The sequence below is a fragment of the Homo sapiens genome, chromosome 3 (genome assembly GCF_000001405.40).
Source record: "Homo sapiens chromosome 3, GRCh38.p14 Primary Assembly".
NCBI lineage: Eukaryota > Metazoa > Chordata > Mammalia > Primates > Hominidae > Homo > Homo sapiens.
The window spans coordinates 196,522,626-196,546,929 of NC_000003.12; the positions used below are offsets into that span (position 1 = coordinate 196,522,626).

At 44.8% G+C, this 24,304-nt stretch overlaps 2 pseudogenes, besides 3 other annotated features; one reads left to right on the top strand and one right to left on the bottom strand.

Moving 5' to 3' along the window:
• Window positions 4,714-6,166, bottom strand: NAA50P2 (NAA50 pseudogene 2; annotated as a pseudogene).
• Window positions 5,293-5,362: an enhancer, noted in NCBI's record as "active region_21095". NCBI's record gives its function as "activates an Ori minimal core promoter by ATAC-STARR-seq in GM12878 lymphoblastoid cells {active_cell/tissue: GM12878}" and the evidence as "EXISTENCE:reporter gene assay evidence [ECO:0000049][PMID:35858748]".
• Window positions 6,133-6,432: a silencer, noted in NCBI's record as "silent region_15066". NCBI's record gives its function as "represses an Ori minimal core promoter by ATAC-STARR-seq in GM12878 lymphoblastoid cells {active_cell/tissue: GM12878}" and the evidence as "EXISTENCE:reporter gene assay evidence [ECO:0000049][PMID:35858748]".
• Window positions 10,508-11,121: an enhancer, noted in NCBI's record as "OCT4-NANOG hESC enhancer chr3:196260004-196260617 (GRCh37/hg19 assembly coordinates)". NCBI's record gives its function as "activates a minimal SCP1, AML or CMV promoter by ChIP-STARR-seq in naive H9 embryonic stem cells {active_cell/tissue: H9 hESC(naive)}" and the evidence as "EXISTENCE:reporter gene assay evidence [ECO:0000049][PMID:30033119]".
• Window positions 13,876-14,164, top strand: RPS29P3 (ribosomal protein S29 pseudogene 3; annotated as a pseudogene).

Genomic DNA, 24,304 nt, shown 5'->3' on the forward strand with positions numbered 1-24,304 from the left:
CCCCTCTTCCCATAGCACAACTGTAAGGGGTGTCTCAGGAAAAACTCTAATCCGATATTTTTCTTCACCCCTAGCTGCAGATGGAGGGGACCTATTATTTACACATGCCTTTTTACTCATGCTTGAAAGTCCCATTCCTTTATCAGGTAGAGATATTCTAGCTCGCAGGGGGGCCGGCATCCTTACAGCCCCAGGACAAACTCTTTGTCTCCCCCTGGTGGAAGCTAACATTAATCCAGAAGTGTGGGCTACTCCAGAAAGAAGAGGTTGAGCTATAATCTCTAGGCCAGTCCAGATTCATCTTAAGGATCCCACTTATTTTCCTTTCTTTCTTTCTCCTTTTTTTTCTTTCTTTTTGAGATGGAGTCTTGCTTTCTCACCCAGGCTGGACTGCAGTGGGGTGATCTCAGCTCCCCACAACCTCCGCCTCCAGAGTTCAAGTGATTCTCCTGCCTCAGCCTCCTGAGTAGCTGGGATTATAGGCATGTGCCACCACGCCTGGCTAATTTTTGTATTTTTAGTAGAGACGGGGTTTCACCATGTTGGCCAGGCCAGTCTGGAGCTTCTGACCTCAGGTGATCCACCTGTCTTGGCCTCCCGAAGTACTGGGATTACAGGTGTGAGCCACCACGCCTAGTCAGGATCCCATTTTTTTTTCCTAATCAGAGACTATATCCCCTAAATCCAGAGGCTAGGAAAGGGCTAGCAGCCATTATCGATAACCTAAAGATGCAGGGCCTCCTCAAACCCTGTAATAGCCCCTGCAACGCCCCAATATTAGGAGTGCAAAACCTCAATAAGGAATGGAGACTAGTTCAGGACCTCTGCCTCATTAATGAAGCTGTCGTTCCAATCCATCCAATGGTACCTAATCCCTTTACACTGTTAACTCAAATACCTGAGGGAACTAAATGGTTTACAGTCCTAGGTTTAAAGGATGCCTTTTTCTGCATACCGTTACATCCTGACTCTCAATACCTGTTTGCCTTCAAAGATCCCTCCAGCCAGACCACCCAGTTAACATGGACGTTGCTGCCTCAGGGATTTTGAGATAGGCCTCATCTGTTTGGACAGGCACTGTCAAAAGATGTCTCTGAGTGTTCCCATCCTCAAATTAGGGTCTTGCAGTACGTTGATGATACTCTGCTCTGTGCCCCAACTAAGGAAGCTCCTCAGGAAGGCACTGAAGCTCTTCTTAACTTCTTAGCTAACAGAGGATATAAGGATTCAAAACCCAAGGCCCAGCTTTGCAAAACCTCGGTGAAGTACCTGGGTTTAGTGCTGTCCAAGGGAACTGGAGCATTAGGGGAAGAAATGATTCAGCCTATTTCTTCCTCCCTTCTCCCTAAAACCTCAAGCAACTAAGAGGATTTGGGGACATTACAGGATTTTGTAGACTATGGATACCTGGGTATTGTGAAATAGTCCACCTGTTATATAACCTCATAAAAGAAGCTCAGGGAGCTAAAACTCATCTTTATTTTATTTTATTTTTTTAGATGGAGTCTAGCTCTGTCACCAGGCTGTAGTGCAGTGGTGCAACCTCCACCTCCCGGGTTCAAGCAATTCTCCTGCTTCAGCCTCCGAGTAGCTGGGATTACAGGCATGCGCCACCACGCCCAGCTAATTTTTGTATTTTTAGTAGAGACGGGGTTTCACCATGTTGGCCAGGATGGTCTCGATCTCCTGACCCCGTGATCTGCCCACCTCGACCTCCCAAAATGCTGGGATTACAGGCGTGAGCCACCACGCCCGGCCTAAAACTCATCTTTTAATCTGGGAACCTGAAGCTTGAAAGGCCTTTGACCAGCTAAAACGAGCCTTGCTTAAGGCACTAGCTCTCAGCCTTCCTGTAGGGAAGACTTTCCATCTGTACGTATCAGAAAGGAAGGGAATGGCCCTGGGAGTTTTAACGTAAGCTTGACGAGCAGCTCAACAGCCAGTGGGTTACCTAAGTAGGGAACTTGATTTGGTGGCTAAAGGATGGCCAGCATGCCTTTGAGCCATTGCCTCAGTAGCCCTACTGGTCCCAGAAGCCCCCAAATTAACCCTGGGAAATGATTTAACTGTTTACACCCCACATAACATGGCAGGACTACTGTACTCTAGGGGGAGCCTTTGGCTAACAAACAGTCGACTCCTTAACTATCAGGCCCTGCTGTTAGAGGGTTCCAACATCCAATTAAAAACTTGTGCAGTGGCTCACGCCTGTAATCCCAGCACTTTAGGGGGCCGAGGTGGGTGGATCATGAGGTCAGGAGTTCAAGATCAGCCTGGCCAACATAGTGAAACCCCATCTCTACTAAATACATAAAAATTAGCCAGGCATGGTGGTGGTGCATGCCTGTAGTCCCAGCTACTCGGGAGGCTGAGGCAGGAAAATCACTTGAACCCAGGAGGTGGAGGTTGCATTGAGCTGAGATTGTGCCACTGCACTCCAGCCTGGCGACAGAGTGAGACTCCGTCTCAAAAAAAACAAAAACAAAACCAAAAACAAAAAAATTGTTCTCGCCTAAATCCAGCCACTTTCCTCCCCAAGGAAACTAGGGAACCTGAACATGACTGTGAACAAGTCCTGATACAGACCTATGCAGCCAGGGAAGATCTCAGGGAAACCGCTAGAGAACCCACACTGGACCCTCTTCACAGATGGGAGCTCTTTTGTAGAACAAGGAATCCATAAGGCAGGATATGCAGTAGTCACTCTAAATGACGTCATTGAAAGTGTGTCTCTCCGTCCAAGCACTCAATTAGCTGAGCTGATAGCTCTTACTCGAGCACTAGAATTAAGCAAAGGAAAGGTAGCTAACATTTGCACTGACTCCAAGTATGCTTTCTTGGTTCTTCATGCTCATGCTGCCATCTAAGCTTTCTTTTAAATATTTTCAGTATGTCCAAGAGAAAACACCTGCTTCCGTTTATTTAGCGGTAATAACCTATATGGACTTAAAAATTTTTTTTGTACAGATGAGGTTTCACCATGTTGCCCAGGCTGGTCTTCAGACTCCCAAAGTGCTGCGATTACAGGCGTGAGCCACTGCACCCGGCCAACATTTTCTTTTTTAGAAACAGGGTCTCACTCTGTTGCCCAGGCTGGAGTGCAGTGGCATGATCACGGCATACTGCAGCCTCGACCTCGTGGGCTCAAGTGATTCTCCTTCCTTAGCCTCCCAAGTAGCTGGGACTACAGGTATGCACCACCACGCCCAGCTAATTTTTTTTTGTTTTAATTTTTATGTACAGACAGGCATCTTACTATGTTGTCCTGGCTGGTCTCCAATTCCTGGGCTCAAGTGATTCACCCGCCTTGGCCTCCCAAAGTGTTGGGATTACAGACATGAGCCACCACACCTGGGTTATTGTTGGATTTACTGAAGAAAAGGGGCAGGAGAAAAAAGTTAAATTACGACAAATCTCTAGGTCAATTAGAAGCCATATCTCTGGGATATTTTAAAAAATCAGTCTTACCGCTTCCGACTCTAAAAGTTAATGCCATTAGTAACAACAGCAGGAAAAATAAACCTGATAAAAACCAGCCCATTCATTTTAGCAAAAAAGCAGTTTAACTCAAAATACTTAGACCAAAGTATAACACTACGTACCCAAGGTGCCCCACCCACCAGCAAGAAGAGAAGAAATAATTGCTTTAAAAATCAAAATATGCGGCCAGGCGCCGTGGCTCACCCCTGTAGTCTCAGCACTTTGGGAGGCCAAGGCAGGCAGATTACCTGAGGTCGGGAGTTCAAGACTAGCCTGGCCAACATGGTGAAACCCTCTTTCTACTAAAAACACAAAAATTAGCCGGGCGTGGTGGCGCGTGCCTGTAGTCCCAGCTACCTCGGGAGGCTAAGGCAGGAGAATCGCCTAAACTCAGGAGACGGAGCTTGCAATGAGCCGAGATCCGCCACTGCACTCCAGCCTGGGCGACAGAGCAAGACTCTGTCTCCAAAATAATAATAATAATAATAAATATGCTCAGCATTTCTTCCAGAGATAGCAACGGTGCTACTCCTGAGAGTGCTCGGAAGGACTAAAGCTGGAGTGAAGATAATGTCTAGGGATTGGTATCCCACAAAGGCTTTCAAAGCCCAAGGTACCACAAGCACACTAAACTCGTCTATGAATTAGAAAACAAGATATCACTGCTGCTTCTTTCTGTCTTTTGAAATGTACAATATTTTGTAGGCTCTGCCCTTCGATGTGAAAGCAGGACTAAGAAAAAACAACTAAGAGGGCCAGGCTCGGTGGCTCACGCCTGTAATCCCAGCACTTTGGGAGGCCGAGGCAGGCGGATCATGAAGTCAAGAAATCAAGACCATCTGGCCAACATGGTGAAACCCTGTCTCTACTAAGAAAATACCAAAATTAGCCGGACGTGGTGGCAGGCGCCTGTAGTCCCAGCTACTCAGGAGGCTGAAGCAGGAGAATCATTTGAACCCAGAAGGCGGAGGTTGCAGTGAGCTGAGATCTCGCCATTGCATTCCAGCCTGGGCAACAGTGTGAGACTCCGTCTCCAAAAAAAAAAAATAGAGACAGAGTCTTGCTATGTTGCCCAGGCTGGTCTCCAACTCCAAGCTAAGAAATGTGAAATTATTTGACACCTAAATTTTTAGAACCATTTATCTTAACTGTGAAATTAAACAGATCTACCTTCTCCTGCCTTCAGTCAAACCACCTCACAAAAATAAGAGAACTGAAACAATCCAAACATGATCTTTTTTTTTTTTTTTTTTTTTTTTTTTTTTTTGAGATGGAGTCTTGCTCTGTGGCCCAGGCTGGAGTGCAGTGGCACGATCTCGGCTCACTGCAACCTCTGCCTCCCAGGTTCAAGCGATTCCCCTGTCTCAGGCTCCTGAGTAGCTTGGGACTACAGGCACACGCCACCACGCCTGGCTAATTTTTGTATTTTTAGTACAGATGGGGTTTCACCATGTTGGCCAGGCTCGTCTGGAACTCCTGACCTCAAGTGATCCACCCACCTTGGCCTCCCAAAGTGCTGGGATTACAGGAGTGAGTCACTGCGCCTGGCCCAAACATGATCATTTTTAAAGTCCTTGAAAGTATTAAAACTTTGAAAAGAAAAGAAAGAAGGAAAAACAAAAACATGGCAGTGCAGGAAAGCTTTACAAGAAAGAGGGGGTGAAAATCAATGGGCTTGTCTTTTTTTGTCAACAAGCAAGTGCAAGAAGGTTCATTTTGTGACTTGTTCAGTTGTGTTTTGCATATCTCCATTCTGATCGGAAGGGACTTTGAGGTTTTTCTGCAACTCCTGAGCATCTGCAGGCTCCATCCTCTTATCCTTTATCTGTCTTTGTCTCAGTCATCTCAAAGCCAAACTTCTGTAGAAGTCAATTGCTGACTCATTGCTGATCTGGACAAACAGATGTTGTCAAAAGTGCCATCTTGGCTGGGCAGTGGCTTATGCCTGTAATCCCAGCACTTTGGGAGGCTGAAGTAGGCAGATCCCTAGAGTACAGGAGTTCGAAACTAGCCTGGCCAATATGGTGAAACCCCGTCTCTACTAAAAACACAAAAATTAGCCAGGCGCGGTGGCTCCCATCTGTAACCCCAGCACTTTGGGAGGCCAAGGCGGGCGGATGTCCTGAGGTCGGGAGTTCAAGACCTGCCAGGCCAGCATGGTGAAACCCCGTCTCTACTAAAAATACAAAAATTAGCCGGGCGTGGTAGCACATGCCTCTAATCTCAGCTACTCGGGAGGCTGAGGCAGGAGAATCACTTGAACCCGGGAGGTGGACGTTGCAGTGAGCCGAGATCGCGCCACTGTACTCCAGCCTGGGTGACAGAGCGAGACTCCATCTCAAAAAAAAAAAAAAAAAAAAAAAAAAAAAAAAAAAAAAAAAGAAAGAGAGAGAGAGAGAGAAAGAAGGAGAAGAAAAAGGTGCCATCTTCTCCACAGATGTTTGACACGATTTAACATCTGAGTTGCTATTCCTGGCCTTGGGTAAGGTGCCGGACACCCTGGTGTGATGATGTGTCTGCGAATGATCCACCGTCCCGCCCTCGCCCCAGCTTTGCTAGCTCAGCCTCCAGCACGCCCTTGTAGGACGTGTCCCTGCAGCCGACTGAAAAGGTGGCCTGGATGGGTGTCTTCAAGTACGGAGAACTGCGGTGTCGCGCCTCCGGGCCCCATCCGGCTCCCAGCATCTTCTCCCGCTGCGGAGGCCGCATTTCCACTCAGGGCAGCGCCGCCGCGGTGGTTCCGCCCTGTCGGGCTCAGACCGGCCTGGGCGCCTCCGCGGGGAGCTGGGCGGTGGCGGGGGCCGCGGGAGTGGAGCCGGCCCGAGCCTCCAGGGGGCGCTGGCGGCCGCTTCCTCCATCCGCAGGCGGCTCCCGGCCACGCCCGTCGCTGAGCGTGAGGCGATGGCGGCCGAGCTCAGAACACTGGTCCCCGGAATGGAGAGCTGAGGGGACAGATCTAAGGGACATTTATAACTCCGCAGGGACTCCGGGGTGGGAGTCAGTCCGTCTCAGGTGCGTCTCCGGAAGAACTTCGGCGTCCTCAGGGAATCAGTCCCTGCCCCAGTGAGAAAAACCTTGCTGGGTCCTCCCTGATCCCCGCCACTACTTTTTTCTCCTTAGCAAAATCCAGATATTGTTTGAGTATTGGGCAGCCACGTGCTTCAGGGGAAGCTGAGCCCCTTCCCAGTGTGAGAGTTGGGGGTGAGTCTTAGAATAAATCAATCACAGCAATTTTATTATTATTGCCGTTATCATTGGTTTAGGAACGGACAGGTGGCAGAATTCTGGCCCATGAAATATAAGAAGAGGCCCACTGTGGAGCTTCTGAGGCCGGGCACGGTGGCTCACGCCTGTAATCCCAGCACTTTGGGAGGCTGAGGCTGGCGGATCACGAGGTCAGGAGTTCGAAACCAGCCTGGCCAACATGGTGAAACCCCCATCTCTACTAAAGATACAACAAATTAGCCGGGCGTGGTGGCGCGCACCTGTAATCCCAGCTACTCGGGAGGCTGAGGCAGGAGAATCGCTTGAACCCAGAAGGCAGAGGTTGTAGTGAGCCAAGATCGTGCCATTGCACTCCAGCCTGGGTGACAGGGCGAGACTCTGTCTCCATAAATTAATTAATTAATTAATTAATTAAGACATAGTCTTGCTACGTTGCCCAGGCTGGTCTCCAACTCCTGGGCTCAAGTGGTCCTCCCGCCTTGGCCTCCCAAAGTGCTGGGATTACAGGTGTGAGCCAGAAAAGTTTGTTTAAATTGTGCAAAAATATACATAACAAAATTTACCATTTTTATATTTTACTTACTTTTTATTTATTTCAATAGGTTTTTGGGGAACAGGTGGTGTTTGGTTTCATAAGTTCTTCAGTGGTGATTTCTGAGATTTGGTGCAGCCATCACTCGAGCAGTGTACACGGTACCCAACGTGTGGTCTTTTATCCCTCGCCCCCTTCCCACCCTTTCCCCTGAATACCCAAAGTGCATTGTATCTTTTTTTTTTTTTTTTTTTTTGTGAGATGTAGTCTCTCTGTGTCGCCCAGGCTGGAGTGCAATGGCACGATCTCGGCTCACTGCAACCTCTGCCTCCCGGGTTCAAGTGATTCTCCTGCCTTAGCCTCCTGAATAGCTGGGACTACAGGCACATGCCACCAAGCCCAGCTAATTTTTGTATTTCTAGTAGAGACGGGGTTTCACCATGTTGGGCAGGATGGTCTCGATCTCTTGACCTCATGATTCGCCTGCCTCGGCCTCCCAAAGTGCTGGGATTACAGGCTTGAGCCACCGCACCCGGTCCACTCCGTGGCTTTCTTTTCATCATCTTGATGGTGTGTTTTCATGAACTAATGTTCTTAATTTTCAAGTAGTCCAATTTATCATGTTTTCATTTTGATGTCTTATATATGAAATTTTTCCTACCCCAAGGTCATGAAAATATTTTTTTCCTTTTAGAAGCTTCACCACTTTACCTATTACATTTATATCTGTAATATGCCTAAAATTTAGACCTTTGGATTAATGTGAAGAAGGTCAAGATTCTTTTCTTCTCCATATGGATATACAACTGACTCAATCCCATTTATTATAAAGAGTTTCCTCACTGCTCTGCAGTGGACTTTTGTCATTAATCAAGTTTGCATACATGCAAGCATCTATTTCTATCCTCTATTCTGTTCCATTGGTCTGCTTATTTATTCTTGTGCCCAAATCACACTCAACCTTAATTATTTTGGCTTCATTAAAAAGTCTTAATAACATACAGTGTGAGTCCTCCAGCTATGCTCTTCAAGATTATCTGGGGTATTCTGGGCCATTTGCATTTTCATATAAAATTTTCAATAAGCTTGCTAATTTTTAGAACGCTATGAGCTGGGATATTGAGTAGAATTACATTGACATCTTCATAATATTTAGCCTTCTAATTCATGAATATGATACGTATCTTTATTTAGATTCTCTTTAATTTTCCTCGGTCGTGTTTTGTAGTTTCCTTTGTAGAGTTTTTGCATGTTTTCCATTAGATTTATTACTAGGTATTTGATGTTTCTTGATGCTGTTGTAAGTAGTGTTTAATGTTTTTCTTATTGCTGTTATAAATACGACCAATTTTTCTATATTTACCTTTTTATTCAGCAACCTTACTAAACCCATTTTTCACTTAGTCGTTCATCTGTAGATGCCCGCCCGCCCGCCTGCCTGCCTGCCCGCCCACCCGCCCGCCTGCCCGCCCGCCTGCCCGCCTGCCCGCCTGCCCGCCTTTCTTTTCTTTCGTCTTGCTCTGTCACCCAGGCTGGAGTGCAGTGGCGTGATCTCAGCTCACTGCAACCTCCACCTCCTGGGTTCAAGTGGCTCTCCTGCCTCAGCCTCCTGAGTAGCTGGTACTACCGGCACATGCCACCACACCTGACTAATTTTTGTATTTTTAGTAGAGACAGGGTTGCACCATGTTGGCCAGGCTTGTCTCAAACTCCTGACCTCAGGTGATCCACCCACCTTTTCCTCCCAAAGTGCTGGAATTACAGGCGTGAGTCACCGCATCCGTCCTTGTTCTGCAAACACAATCATGTTGTCTGTGAATGACAGTTTTAGTTCTTCCTTTCCAATTCTTATGTCTTTCATTTCTTTTTCTTGTCTTGTTGTAATGTCTACACCTTCAACAGAATGTTGAATAGAATTAATCAAGGGAATTTCATTCTATTCTCAAACTCCTGACCTCAGGCCATCTGCCTGCCTCAGCCTCCCAAAGTGCTGGGATTATAGGCTTCATTCTATTCTCTTGTTACCAACATCATGAAGAAAGTTTCAGTGTTTTACCATGTTTCTAAATTATTCATGTCTCAAAGAAGAAAATACAATGAAAATTTTAAATGTTTCATTGAAAAACAATGAAAATGTGACATAAGACAATAAGGAGGTAGCTAAAACTGTACTTTGAAGAAATTTTGTCTCAAATGCAAAATAAAAGCTGGACATATCCGTGAGATAAGTGTTCATCTCAAGGTGTTAGAAAAAGAGCAAATTAAACCTAAAGTTATTAGAATGAAGGAAATAATAAAGATTAGAGCAGGAATTCATGAAATAGAAAGAAATAAATAATAGAAAGGATTATCAAAGGCAAATATTAGTTCTTTGACCCTTGTGCACTATTGATGGGAATGTAAATTATTACGGCCATTATGAAAAACAGTATGGAGGTTTCTGAAAAAATTAAAAATAGGACTACCATATGATCCAGCAATGATATATACTAGGTGCATATCTGGAGGAAATGAACTCAGTGTGTTGAAGGGACACCTACACTCCCACATTAATTGCAGCGTTATTCATAATAGCCAAGATATGGAATCAACTTAAGGAGCCATCAACAATGTGGTATGCTAGGCATGGTGGCTCATGCCTATAATCCCAGCATTTTGGAAGGCTGAGGCAAGAGGATCACTTGTGCCCAGGAGTTTGAAACCAGGCTAGGCAACATAGTGAGACCTCATCTCTACAAAACAAAAAAAAAATTAATTTGAAAAACAATATGCTGAAAAAATGTGCTACATGCTCATCATGGATGACATTAAAAATAAGTAAATAAGCAATATGGTGTATATACACAATGGAATACTATTCAGCCTTTAAAAAGAAGGAAATTCTGTCATTTGCAACAAGATGTAAGATCCTGGACGACATTATGCTATGAGAAATAAGTCAGGCATAGGAAGACAAGTACTGCATGATCTCACTTATATGAGGAATTGAAAAAAGTGAAACTTCTAGAAGCAGGGACAGAGAGTAGAATGTTGGTTGCCAGGGTTGGTTAGGAGGCTGGGGAGATGGGAGATGTTGGCCAAAGGGTACAAACTTTCAATATAACGTGAATAAGTTCTGGAGATCTAATACACAGCACAGTGATTATAGTTAATAATACTGTATTGTATACTTGAAATTTGCTAAGAGAATAGTTCTTAAGTGTGTTCATTATTGGGGGAACCAGCCCCCAATATTTCAACGTAGGTTCTTTTCTATTTTCCCTAAGTGTCAGCTGGTCTGAGAAAAAAAGAGAAAGAGTACAAGAGAGAGAAATTTTACAGCTGGGCCTCCGGGGGTGACATCACGTGTCGGCAGGTTCTGTGATACCCACCTGAGCCGCAAAACCAGCAGGTTTTTATTAGGAATTTCAAAAGGGGAGGGGGTATGAATAGGGAGTGGGTCACAGAGATCACACGCTTCATTCAAATGGCAATAAAAGATCACAAGGGCATAAGGGCAGAGCAAGCTCACAAGGCCAGGGCGAAATTAGAATTACTGATGAGGTTTCACGTCCCACTGTGCACGCGTTGTCATTGATAAATATCTTAACAGGAAACAGGGTTCAAGAGCAGAGAACTGGTCTGACTACAATTCGCCAGGCTGGAATTTCCTAATCCTAGCAAGCCTGGGGGCGCCGCAGGAGAGCAGGGCGTTATTTCATCCCTTATCTTCAACCGCATGAGGCAGACAGCCCCAGAGCGGCCGTCCATGCCCCCCACCGGGAATGCGTTCCCTTCCCAGGGTGATTCCTTGCTGGGAAAAGAATGCAGCCATATTTCTCCTACTCGTTTTCTGCAATAAGAAAGATATGACGCTGTTCTGCCCGGCCCCGCAGGCAGTCAGACCTTATGGTTATCTCCCTTGTTCCCTGAACATCGCTGTTATCCTGTTCTTTTTCAGGGTGCCCAGATTTCATATTGTTCAAACACACGTTTTACAAACAATTTGTGCAGTTAACGCAATCATCACAGGGTCCTGAGGTGACATACATCCTCAGTTTACGAAGATGACGGGATTAAGAGATTAAAGTACAAACAGGCACAGGAAATTATGAGTCTTGACTGGGGAAGTGATACATGTCCATGAAATCTTCACAATTTATGTTCAGAGACTGCAGTAAAGACAGGCGTAAGAAATTATAAAAGTATTAATTTGGGGAACTAATAAATGTCCATGAAATCCTCACAATTTATGTTCTTCTGCCGTGGCTTCAGCTGGTCCCTCCGTTCAGGGTCCCTGAGTTCCCGCAACAATTCATCGCAAAAAAAAAAATGGTAAGAAGCTGGGCATGGTGGCGTGTGCCTGTGGTATCAACTACTTGGGAGGCTGAGGCAGGAGGATCACTTGAGCTTGGCATGGGCAACCTACCAAGACCACATATCTAAAGAAATAAAATGTCTTTTCTGGTTCCACTTGAGGGTTGCATTTTTTTAAAAGCAGACTTTTTTTGTGAGATAATGTATATGGTAGCAAGCTTGATTTGGCCACTCCACATGTAAACATATTTCAAAACATCATGTTATGTACCATAAATATATATATTTTTTGTCATTAAAAAATAAATTTAGGCGAGGCATGGTGGGTTGAGCCTGTAATCCCAGCAGTTTGGGAGGCTGAGGTTGGAGGATCACTTGAGGCCAAGAGTTTGAGACCAGTCTGGGCAACGTAGGGAGATCCCATCTCTGCAAAAAATTAAAAATTAGCCAGGTGAGGCAGTGTGCACCTGTAGTCCCAGCTACCTGAGAGGCTGAAGTAGGAGGATCACTTGAGCCCGGGAGTCTGAGGCTGCAGTGAGCTATGATTGTGCCACTGCACTTCAGCCTTGGCAATTGGGTGAGATCATCTCTCCAAATAAATAAATAAACAATTTTTAAATGGTTCTTTGAAAAGGTTATTGATACTGAAAAACTCCTGACAAGATTAATAAATAAGAGAAGTCACAGATAACCAATAACAGGATTGAAGAAGGGGACATCATTATACATGTAAACAGATGACAAAAAGCTAAGAGGATATTATAGGCTGAGTGCAGTGGCTCACGCCTGTAATCCCAGCACTTTGGGAGGACGAGGCGGGAGGATCACGAGGTCAAGGAGATCTATACCATCCTGGCTAACACGGTGAAACCCCGTCTCTACTAAAAATACAAAGAATTAGCCCGGCATGGTGGCACGCGCCTGTAATCCCAGCTACTCAGGAGGCTAAGGCAGGAGAATCGCTTGAACCCAGGAGGCAGAGGTTGCAGTGAGCCAAGATCATGCCACTGCACTCCAGTCTGGGCAACAGAGTGAGACTCTGTCTCAAACAAACAAAAAGCTAAGCTAAGTTTGATTCTTTTAATTCTGAGTAGTATTCTATAGTATGGGTGTACTGTAATTTGTTTAACCATTTACCTGTGGAAGGAATCTGGCTTATTCCAGTTTTGAGCTATCACAAATAAAGCTGCTATAAATATGTGTCCAATATTTTTCTGGAATAAATGCCCAGGAGTGCAATTGCCAGATAATATGGGTAATACGGTAGTAGCATGGTTAGTTTTGTAAGAAACTGCCAAACTGTTTTCCAGAGTAGCTGTACCACTGTGCGTTCCCACCACCAATGTAGGAGTGACTCAGTTTCTCCACATACTCACCAGCATTTAGTATTGTCACTATTTTTTATATTAACCATTCTGATAAGTGCACATATTCATTTTAAAAAATATTTCATACAGATTTTGTTAGTATTCTGGAAGGATAAGTTGATTTGCAACATGCTAAATGATACTGTAACCTATTAAACTCATTCTGTAATTGGTATTGAATCAGTTTTTTGACAGATAGGATCCAGACATCTAGATAGTTTTAATTTTATTTTTATTTTTTAATTTTTTTTTTTTTTTTTTTTTGAGACAGGGTCTTGCTCTGTTACCCAGGCTGGAGCACAGTGGCATGATCTTGGCTCACTGCAACCTCTGCTTCCTGGTTCAAGTGTTTCACCTCCCTCAGCCTCTTGAGTAGCTGGGATTACAGGCGCCAGCCACCAGGCCTGGCTAATTTTTTTACTTTTAGTACAGACAACGGGGTTTCACCATGCTGGCCAGGCTGGTCTCGAACTCCTGACCTCAAGTGATCCACCAGCCTCAGCCTCCCAAAGTGTTGGGATTACAGGCAGTAAGCCACTGTGCCCGGCCTAGATAGTTTTCAGATCAACAAAGGTGAATCTGATTTGCAACCAGGGTTATGAACCACTGGTCTCAGAAGACGTAGCTTTGAGGGAAGTGGCCACAGTCAATGATGGGAAGAGACAATGGGAATACACAGTGGGATAGTAGAGATGAATGATGTTTCATAAACATAAACAAGGATGCCATGACCCTGGGAAATAACATTTTTTGGAAAATAATTTTTAAACTTTTGAAATTATTTTTTTCTTTTTTTGAGACAGAGTCTCGCTTTGTAGCCTAGGCTGGTGTGCAGTGGCGCGATCTTGGCTCGCTGCAACCTCTGCCTCCTGGATTCAAGCGATTGTCCTGCCTCAGCCGCCTGAGTAGCTGGGATTACAGGCGTGAGCCACCACGCCCGGGGAATTTTTGTATGTTTAGAAGAGACGGGGTTCCCCTTTTACCTCGTTGCACTCCTGAGAGCAAGATGGGTCACCAGCAGCTGTACTGGAGCCACGCGCGAAAATTCGGCCAGGGTTCTCGCTCTTGTCGCGTCTGCTCAAACCGGCACGGTCTGATCCGGAAATATGGCCTCAATATGCGCCGCCAGTGTTTCCGTCAGTACGCGAAGGATGTCGGTTTCATTAAGTTGGACTAAATGATCTTCCTTCAAAGGGTTATCCAAGGCATCTACTCAATGAAAAACCATGATCATTCTTTGTACATAAAATAAACATTTGAAAAACCCAAAAAAAAAAAAAAAAAAAAGAGATGGGGTTTCACCATGTTGGCCAGGCTGGTTTTGAACTCCTGGTCTCAAGTTATCTGCCCGCCTCGTCCTCCCAAAGTGCTGGGATTACAGGCATGAGCCAATGTGCTCAGCCCTGGAAATTTAAAATAGATTGATTGTAAAGAAATCTACTTGGGCAAAAAAATTTTAAATTTGAATACTGAAATAATAATGGTTCCTTAGAGCCATAAAGTGTTTATTAACAAGAAATACAGTTGATAAAAGATATGTATGATTGCCCAACTTACATAGAAAAGAAAAAAATGGAAAAAGTTCAGGTGGTGACTAGTCAAGTTAATTGATTATTAAGGATATCAAAATCTCTGGGCGGGGCGCGGTGGCTGACGCCTGTAATCCCAGCATTTTGGGAGGCCGAGGTGGGTGGATCACCTGAGGTCAGGAGTTCGAGACCAGCCTGGTCAACATGGTAAAACCCCCGTCTCTATTAAAAATGCAACAATCAGCTGGGTGTGGTGGCGGGCGTCTGTAATCCCAGCTACTGGGGAGGCTGAGGCGGGAGAATTTCTTGAACCCGGGAGGCAGAGGTTGCGGTGAACCGAGATCGCACCACTGCACTCCAACCTGGGCGACAGAGCGAGACTCCCTCTAAAAAAAAGAAAATCAATCAATCAATCAATCAATCATCAATCGGCCCACCTAGGAAAATTGTGGATTGTGTCGCTAGGGGGCGCTGAACCTTTACAGAGCAATTCAGGAAGGGAAAATTTAAAATTCTCAGAACCCTACATATAACACCTCTCTATAAAAGACAAGGAACACCAAGCAGAAAATTAGAGTATGTTATTTTAAAAAGAGCAAATCTAAGAGTAAGACATTTAGGAGAAGGAGAAAGAGTTCTGCCCAGTGCCTCCTCTGCCTTACTCTGGTAAGAGGAAGGCAAACAGCCTTTTCCAAACAGCCCGGCCTCTCCGGTGGGTTCTGTCACATGCCAGCAAGAATCCTGACTAATACCAGAAGCGACGTGCTATTTGGAGAACTGGTGGTCATGTCACCCAAACGGCTAGTCAGAGCCAGTCAAGGCGGATAAGGTCTGAGTAGTCAAACTTGCTCACCGTCTTGTGCTCCCCACCTGGATTATGAAATCGGGATCCACCCAGTCACTGAGGCCAGAAACCTGGGCTCCATTTTCCACTCCAATATCTCTTACTGATAATTTCACTAGCTTTTCTACCTGGCTACCTTAGAATTTAGACTGAAAAATCCTTGTGCTCCATCAGAATAACTGCTTCTGCAGCAAACTGAGTTCTAACCTTTCTACCTTCTCCACATTTCCCAGTATCACCATTGACCAAGTCCTGGTCTCGAAATCCTACAGGCCCCTCAAGAGAATTTTTAGGACACTATCTACAAGTCTATGAACTCAAGCTGGAGTATTGTGTCTCCTCCTCCTCCTCCTTCTTCCTCCTCCTCCTCCTCCTCCTTCTCCTCCTCCTTCTCCGACAGGGTCTCCTTGTCTTGTCCAGGTTGGAATACAGTGGCACAGTCATAGCTCACTGCAGCCTTGAACTCCTGGGCTCAAGCGATCCTCCAGTCTCAGCCTCTCAGAGTGCTGAGATTACAGGTGTGAGACACCATACTGGGCTGAGTATTGTATATTTCTTTCTTTCTTTATTTCTTTTTTTTTTTTTTTTTTGAGACATGGTCTCATTCTGTCACCCAGGCTGGAGCGCAGTGGTGTGATCTCGGCTCACTGCAACCTCAACCTCCTGGACTCTAGTGATCCTCCCACCTCTCAGCCTCTTGAGTAGCTGAAATTAAATGCCTGGCTAATTTTTGTATTTTTGTAGAGATAGGGTTTTTGCCATGTTGTCTAGGTCGGTCTCAAACTCCTGAAGTCAAGCGATCTGCCTGCCTTGGTCTCCCAAAGTGCTAGGATTACAGGAGTGAGCCACCGTATCAAGGCTATGAGCACTGTACACCTTCTAAAAGAAAAAATTATTACACTTTCAAGATCGATTACAATTATTATACTAAAATTGTTTTTAGCATAATGCTGCTTAAATATGTCTAAACCCAATATCAGGTGTAAATTTCTTTTCTTTTTTTTTTTTTTTGAGATGGAGTCTTGCCCTGTCGCCCAGGCTGGAGTGCAGTGGCGCAATCTTGGCTCACTGCAACCTCTGCCTCTAGGGTTCAAACGATTCTCCTGCCTCAGCCTCCTGAGTAGCTGGGATTACAGGCGCCCGCCACCACGCCCAGCTAATTTTTGTATTTTTAGTAGAGACGGGGTTTCACCATGTTGGCCAGGCTGGTTTCAAACTCCTCACCCCGTGATCCGCCCACCTCAGCCTCTCAAAGTGCTGGGATTACAGGCGTGAGCCACCGCGCCCGGCCAGGTGTAAATTTCTTATGCTTATAGCTCTTATGCAACTATAAGAGCAAAACAAACCTACGTATTAAATACAAAACAAATTACAAGTAATAAAGTTAAATTGACAGCATTAACATACTATGATGGCTGATGCTGCTTTGTTGAAGCTAAGTCATCTCTCACATCATAGATTTCACAAAGCTGCTTTACAGCAGGTTCTTTTGCATTTGGCAAGTTGATACTACCTTGGGCAGAGAAATGACTCAATCATAAAATTTTTCTCTAATTGAATTACACCCATCACTTGGTTTATGCATTCTCAGTTTATAAATTTTAGATGAAAAAAATCTGAATATATATACCTGTCATTTATTTTAAAAATTTTAGATGTTGTTTGTTTTCAAACCGAAGATACTCTATGATATGTTATGGAAGATACATTCTTCCGTCACTTCTCCTACCACCGTGATGAATAGAGAACTGATGGTGGAACACTGGGGAAAGAGGTTATTGGCCCTTGTTTTGAGTGACTGTTAACTCTGGGGGGACTGTGTCTGCTGAGAAACCAGTCAAGGTGTTTCTGTTGAACACATGCCCAGTTCAAACTCTGGCTAGTCTCAAACTCCTGGGCTTAAGTCATCCTCCAGCCTCAGCCTCCTGAGTAGCTGGGACTACAGGCATGTGCCACCATGCCCAGCTTGTATTATTATTTCTTTTTTTTTGAGACGGAGTTTCACTCTTGTCACCCAGGCTGGAGTACAATGGCGTGGTCTCAGCTCATTGCAACCTTCGCCTCCCAGGTTCAAGCAATTCTCCTGCCTCAGCCTCCTGAGTAGCTGGGATTACAGGTGTGCACCACCACGCCTGGCTAATTTTTGTATTTTTAGTAGAGACAGGGTTTCATCATGTTGGCCAGGCTGGTCTCAAACTCCTGACCTCAGGTGATCCACCCACCTAGGCCTCCAAAAGTGCTGGGATTACAGGCGTGAGCAACCACACCCGGCCTGTATTACTATTTCTAACATCATAACTTCAAACGAGACAAAGAAAAGATGGAAAAAGTATTAATTTAAGTTGTGAAGCCTAATTTTAAAAATCCTTATTTTAGGCCGGGCATGGCGGCTCACATCTATAATCCCAGCACTTTTGGAGACCGAGGCGGGTGGATCATTTGAGGTCAGGAGTTCGAGATCAGCATGGTCAACATGATGAGACCGTCTCTAATAAAAATATGAAAATTTGGTGGCTCACACCTGTAATCCCAGCCCTTTGGGAGACCGAGGTGGGTGGATCACTTGAGGTCAGGAGTTCGAGACCAGCCTGGCCAACGTGCTGAAACCCCATCTCTACTAAAAATACAAAAAATTAGCCAGGCATGGTGGTGCGCGCCTGTAATCCCAGCTACTTGGAAGGCTGAGGCAGGAGAATCGCTTGAACCTGGGAGGTGGAGGTTACAGTGAGCTGAGATCGCACCATTGCACTCCAGCCTGGGCAACAAAAGTGAAACTCCATCTCGAAAAAAAAGAAAAAAGAAAAAGGCCGGGTGCGGTGGCTGATGCCTGTAATCCCAGCACTTTGGGAGGCCAAGGCGGGCGGATCATGAGGTCAGGAGATCAAGACCATCCTGGCTAACACGGTGAAACCCCGTCTCTACTAAAGATTCAAAAATTAGCTGGGCATGCTGGCGGGCGCCTGTAGTCCCAGCTACTCGGGAGGCTGAGGCAGAAGAATGGCGTGAACCCGGGAGGCAGAGCTTGCAGTAAACTGAGATCGCACCACTGCACTCCAGCCTGGGTGACAGAGTGAGACTCTGTCTCAAAAAAAAAAAAAAAAAAAAACCACACACACAACAAAAATTAGCCAGGCTGGTGGTGCGCACCTGTAATCCCAGCTACTTGGGAAGCTGAGGCAGGAGAATGGCTTGAACCTGGGAGATGGAGGTTGCAGTGAGCCGAGATAGCACCACTGCACTGGGTGACAGAGCGAGATTCTGTTTCCAAAAAAAAAAAAAAATCCTTATTTTAAGTGAAAAATTAGTAGAATTAAAGTAAATCAAGACAATATAAACATTAATGGTGGTGAAAGCTTGAAGCTCTAGTACAAGAGATTTGGGGTAGTAATAGGTCCAGAAAAAGCAGTAAGACACTTGTCTTGAAACTGCACTTTGTAGCAAGCAACCTTTAAAAAACTTAAGTTTTCAGCCCCGATTCAGTGGCTCACACTTATAATCCTAGCACTTTGGGAGGCTGAGCCCAGAGGATTGTTTGAGGCCAGGAGTTCAAGACCAGCCTGGGCAACATAGCAAGACCCCATCTCTAATTTTAAAAAATAAAAATAAATTAGTTTTGAGATATAACTTACATACAATAAAATTCAATAATTTAAAAAGTATGGCTTACTGAGCTCTGACAAATGTTTACAGTCATATAATGACTGCCACAATCATGATAAAGACCACAGAATATCCCCCATCACCCTGAAAACTTCCCTTGTACTTCTTTGCAGCCAATCCTATACCCTGCCTCTGACCCCTGGAAACCTCTGAGCTGCTTTCTGTTTTGCCTTTTCCAGAATGTCATATAAATAGAATCATATAGTATTTGGATATAAATGGAATCATTAGTATTTAGTCTGCTAGGCATATACTTGCTTCTTTCACATACCACAATGCTTTTGAGATTTGTCCATGTTCTTGCCTGTGTCCACAATCTGTTCCTTTTATTGCTCAATAGTATTCCATTGCACGGACACACTGTGAGTGGTTGAACAGTTGAGGGACATTTGTGTTATTTCCAATTTGGCTATTATGAACAAAGTAGCTATAAACATTTGGGTCAAGAATTTTGTGTGAACGTATTTTTTCATTTCCCTTTAAAATTTTTTTATTATTTCTTTTTCTTTTCTTAAAAATCCCAAATGTGATAGTATTTTATTTTTCTTGAGTAAATACCTAAAAATAGAATTGCTAGGTCATATTATAAGCATATGTTTAGCTTTAAAAGTGGCCCAACTGCTTTCCAAAGCGGCTGTACCATTTTGCATTCCTACTAACGATGTGTGAGAGTTCCCGTTGCTCCGCATTCCTGTCAACATTGTCAGTCTTTATAAGTGTAGCCATTCTAGTGGGTGTATACAGGTGTTACATTGTAGTTTTAATTTGCATTTACCTAATGACTATTCATGTCATGCACCTTTTCATGTACTTATTGGCCATTTATATATCCATATTGGTGAGGTGTCCAAATCTTTTTTTTTTTTAATTATACTTAAAGTTTTAGGGTACATGTGCACATTGTGCAGGTTAGTTACATATGTATACATGTGCCATGCTGGTGCACTGCACCCACTAACTCGTCATCTAGCATTAGGTATATCTCCCAATGCTAGAGGTATCCAAATCTTTTGCCCATTTTTTTTTTTTTAATTTTTATTTTTATTGATCATTCTTGGGTGTTTCTCACAGAGGGGGATTTGGCAGGGTCATGGGACAATAGTGGAGGGAAGGTCAGCAGATAAACAAGTGAACAAAGGTCTCTGATTTTCCTAGGCAGAGGACCCTGCGGCCTTCCGCAGTGTTTGTGTCCCTGGGTACTTGAGATTAGGGAGTGGTGATGACTCTCAACGAGCATGCTGCCTTCAAGCATCTGTTTAACAAAGCACATCTTGCACCGCCCTTAATCTATTTAACCCTGAGTGGATACAGCACATGTTTCAGAGAGCACAGGGTTGGGGGTAAGGTCACAGATCAACAGGATCCCAAGGCAGAAGAATTTTTCTTAGTAAAGAACAAAATGAAAAGTCTCCCATGTCTACTTCTTTCCACACAGACACGGCAACCATCCAATTTCTCAATCTTTTCCCCACCTTTCCCCGCTTTCTATTCCACAAAACCGCCATTGTCATCATGGCCCGTTCTCAATGAGCTGTTGGGTACACCTCCCAGACGGGGTGGTGGCCGGGCAGAGGGGCTCCTCACTTCCCAGTAGGGGCGGCCGGGCAGAGGCGCCCCTCACGTCCCGGACGGGGCGGCTGGCCGGGCAGGGGGCTGACCCCCACCTCCCTCCCGGACGGGGCAGCTGCCGGGCGGAGACGCTCCTCACTTCCCAGACGGGGTGGCTGCCGGGCGGAGGGTCTCCTCCCTTCTCAGATGGGGCGGCTGGGCAGAGACGCTCCTCACCTCCCAGACGGCGTCGCGGCCGGGAAGAGGCGCTCCTCACATCCCAGACGGGGCGGCGGGGCGGAGGCGCTCCCCACATCTCAGACGATGGGCGGCCGGGCAGAGACGCTCCTCACTTCCTAGATGGGATGGCGGCCGGGAAGAGACGCTCCTCACTTTCCAGACTGGGCAGCCAGGCAGAGGGGCTCCTCACATCCCAGACGATGGGCGGCCAGGCAGAGACGCTCCTCACTTCCCAGACGGGGTGGCGGCCGGGCAGAGGCTGCACTCTGGACTTTTGCCCATTTTTAAATTAGGTTTTTTGTCTTCTTTTTAAGTTGTAAGAGTTCCATATGTATAGATTCTGGATATAAGCTCTATAGTAGGTATACATTCTACACATATTTTCTCCCAGTCTGTGGTTTGCCTTTTTTTTTTCCTTTTCTTTTCTTTCTTTCTTTCTTTTTCTTTTTCTTTTTTTTTTTTTTTCAGACAGGGTCTCACTCTGTCACCCAGGCTGGAGTGCAGTGGCACGATCTCGGCTCACTGCGCCCTGCGTCTCCTGGGCTCAAGCAATTCTCCCACCTCAGCCTCTTGGGCAACTGGGACTACAGGCATGAGCCACCACACTCAGCTAATTTTTGTATTTGTTGTAGAGACGGAGTTTTACCATGTTGCCTAGGCTGGTCTCAAACTCCTGAGGTCAAGCTACCCACTGGCCTGGGCCTCCCAAAGTGCTAGGATTACAGGCGTGAGCCACCACACTTGGCCAGCTTTTCATTTTCTTAATAGTTTTTTTTTGGAAGAACAAAACTTTTCCACTTTGATAAGGTCCAATTTTCCAATTTTTTCTTTTACGCTTCATGTTTTTTGTGTCTTAAGAAGTCTTTGCTGAATGCAAGGTCGCAAAGATCTTCTTTTATGTTTCCTACATTTTAGAGCATTAGCTCTTATTTTTAGTTTTATGACCCATTACTTATGATGTAACAGTTGAGGTTCATTTTTTGGCATATGGCTTCCAATTGTTCCAGCAATACTTGTTAGAAAGACTAAAATTTCCCCCATTGAATAACCCTGGTACCTTTGCTAAAAATCTGTTTGCCATGAACGTGTAAGCCTGTAAGCATATGAAGGGATGCAGAACATCATCAGTAATTAGGGAAATGCAAATTGAAACTACAGTAAGATTCTACTTCATACCCACTCAGAAAACTATAATTAAAAAAAGACAGGCTGCTGGGAATGTAAAATGGTGTAGTCACTTTAGAAAGCCATCTGGCAGTTCCTCAAAATATGAACACATATTTACCATATGACCCATTAGTTTCACTCCTAGGTATATACTTGTTCATAGCAGCATTATTCAGAATACCTCAAAAACAGAAACAGTCCACATACTCATCAGCTAATGAGAAGATAAACAAATTGTGGTATAGTATATGAGTACAATGGAATATTATTCAGCCCTAAAAAGGAATGAAGTACTGATGCATGCTAAAACATTATCGTGAAAACATAATGCTAAGTGAAAGAAGCCGGCCTGAAGAAACTTCATATTACATGAGTCAATGTATATGAAATGTCTGGAGTTGGCAAACTACAGAGACAGAAAGTGGAGTAACAGTTGCCTAGGGTAGGGGTGAAGTGGTGGTATAAGGTGAAATGGGAAGTAATTGCTAATGGGTTCCAATTGTTTCCAGTGAGGTTTCTTTTTGGGAGAAGATAATTTTTTTCTTCTTTTTTTTTTAGACAGTCTGTCTCTGTCACCCAGGCTGGGAGTGCAGTGGCACGATCTTGGCTCACTGCATCTTCTGCCTCCTGGGCTAAAGCAATCCTCCTGCCCTCAGCCTCCCAAGTAGCTGGGACCACCAGCACGCACCACCACGCTCAGCTAATTTGTGTGTGTGTGTGTGTGTGTGTGTGTGTGTGTGTGTGTGTGTGTTTGTTTTGGTAGGAGAGGGTTCTCCCAGGCTAGGGGAGAGGAATTTTCTAAAACTAGGTTGTGGTGATGCTGCACGACCCTCTCAATTTATTAAAAGCCATCGACTTGTATACTTTATTTTTTCTGTGAACTTTGTAGAGAAGTAGATTTGTGTACTTTAAGTGGGTAAATTATATGGCATGTGAATTATGCCTCAATAAGGCAGTTTTTAAAATCAAAAAATGTATAATTGTTGAATTTAAAAGATTGTTCCGGCTGGGCATGGTGGCTCATGCCTGTAACAGCACTTGGGGAGGCTGAGGTGAGAGGATCACTTGAGCCTACAAGGTCGAGGCTGCAGTGAGCCATGATCGTGCCACACACTCCAGCTTGGGCAACAGAGCAAGACCTCGTCTCAAAATAAAATAGTTTTGTTCCTTAAAGTTATATTCTTGTTTCCACTACTACTATGAAACAATTATTTCCAGTGTTTGAAACGGCAGCTGTGTGTCTTCTCTCTGACATTGTTAAAATTTTTTCTAAAGTCACAGCACACACACACACACAGGCATACTAAGAAAGAAAGAAAAGTTTAGTAAGTAAGTTTAGTAAGTTTCATTGATGGGTCAATTACATAAAGAAACAGCAAGTGAAGTAAAAATAAAGTACACTGGAGAACCTGCAGACCACTGGGAATCCCAACTGACCTGAGTTTCAATCTGGTTGCTCCCCTGACGCATGGGTGTCACCTGACCAGTGAGAGTATGGAACTGCTGCCTCCTCCCCAAGCCTCTCCTGTACAGGAAGACTTCAGTCCTGTAGCCTTCCCAGTTCTCCTGCATATCATCCTGTGTTTTTATATTAGAAACAACATTTCCCCAGAGGTTTAATTTCTGCTTTGAAAGATCTATATGAAAGAGCCAAGATACAGTTAAGAAGGAAGGAATGTGCCATCATCTGTGTGTTTAAAATTCTGTTTCGGGGCTGGGCGTGGTGGCTCATGCCTGTAATCCCAGCACTTTGGGAGGCTGAGGTGCGCGGATCACCTGAGATCAGGAGTTCGAGAACAGCCTGACCAACGTGGTGAAACCCCGTCTCTACTAAAAGTACAAAAATTGGCTGGGTATGGTGGTGGGCACCTGTAATCTCAGCTACTCGGGAGGCTGAGGCAGGAGAATTACTTGAGCCCAGAAGGCGGAGGTTGCAGTGAGCCAAGATCGCACTACTGCACTCCAGCCTGAGTGACAGAGCAAGACTCTGTCTCAAAAAAATAAACAGAGAGTCTGTGAACTCAGAAGGCATACAATTCTTATAAACACTTTTCACTGTGTTAAATTTATAATGTTACATATTTGACAGTGCATTCATAGAAATTCTAAGTACTTAGTAGCTAAACGTAAAAAAAGTGCACTTAATTTTTAGGCCACTACATACCTGTGACCAGTTGTGTCAACATTTGTAAATCAATAGGACTTGTATTTACTTGACCACTCCACGCTCTGGATGCTTCTTTATTCACTGACTAGAATTACAGGAAAATCGTGCCCAAGTAAACTTCGGGTTCAAGCGGTTTTTTTGGCTATGGAGAGGACTTGATTAGAGATTCAGCCCCAGCCCAGCCCCTTTCCTCACCAAGAGTAAGGGAATAGCAGGGGCTCTCCTTAAGTACTGGGGAGGTGGTCTGTA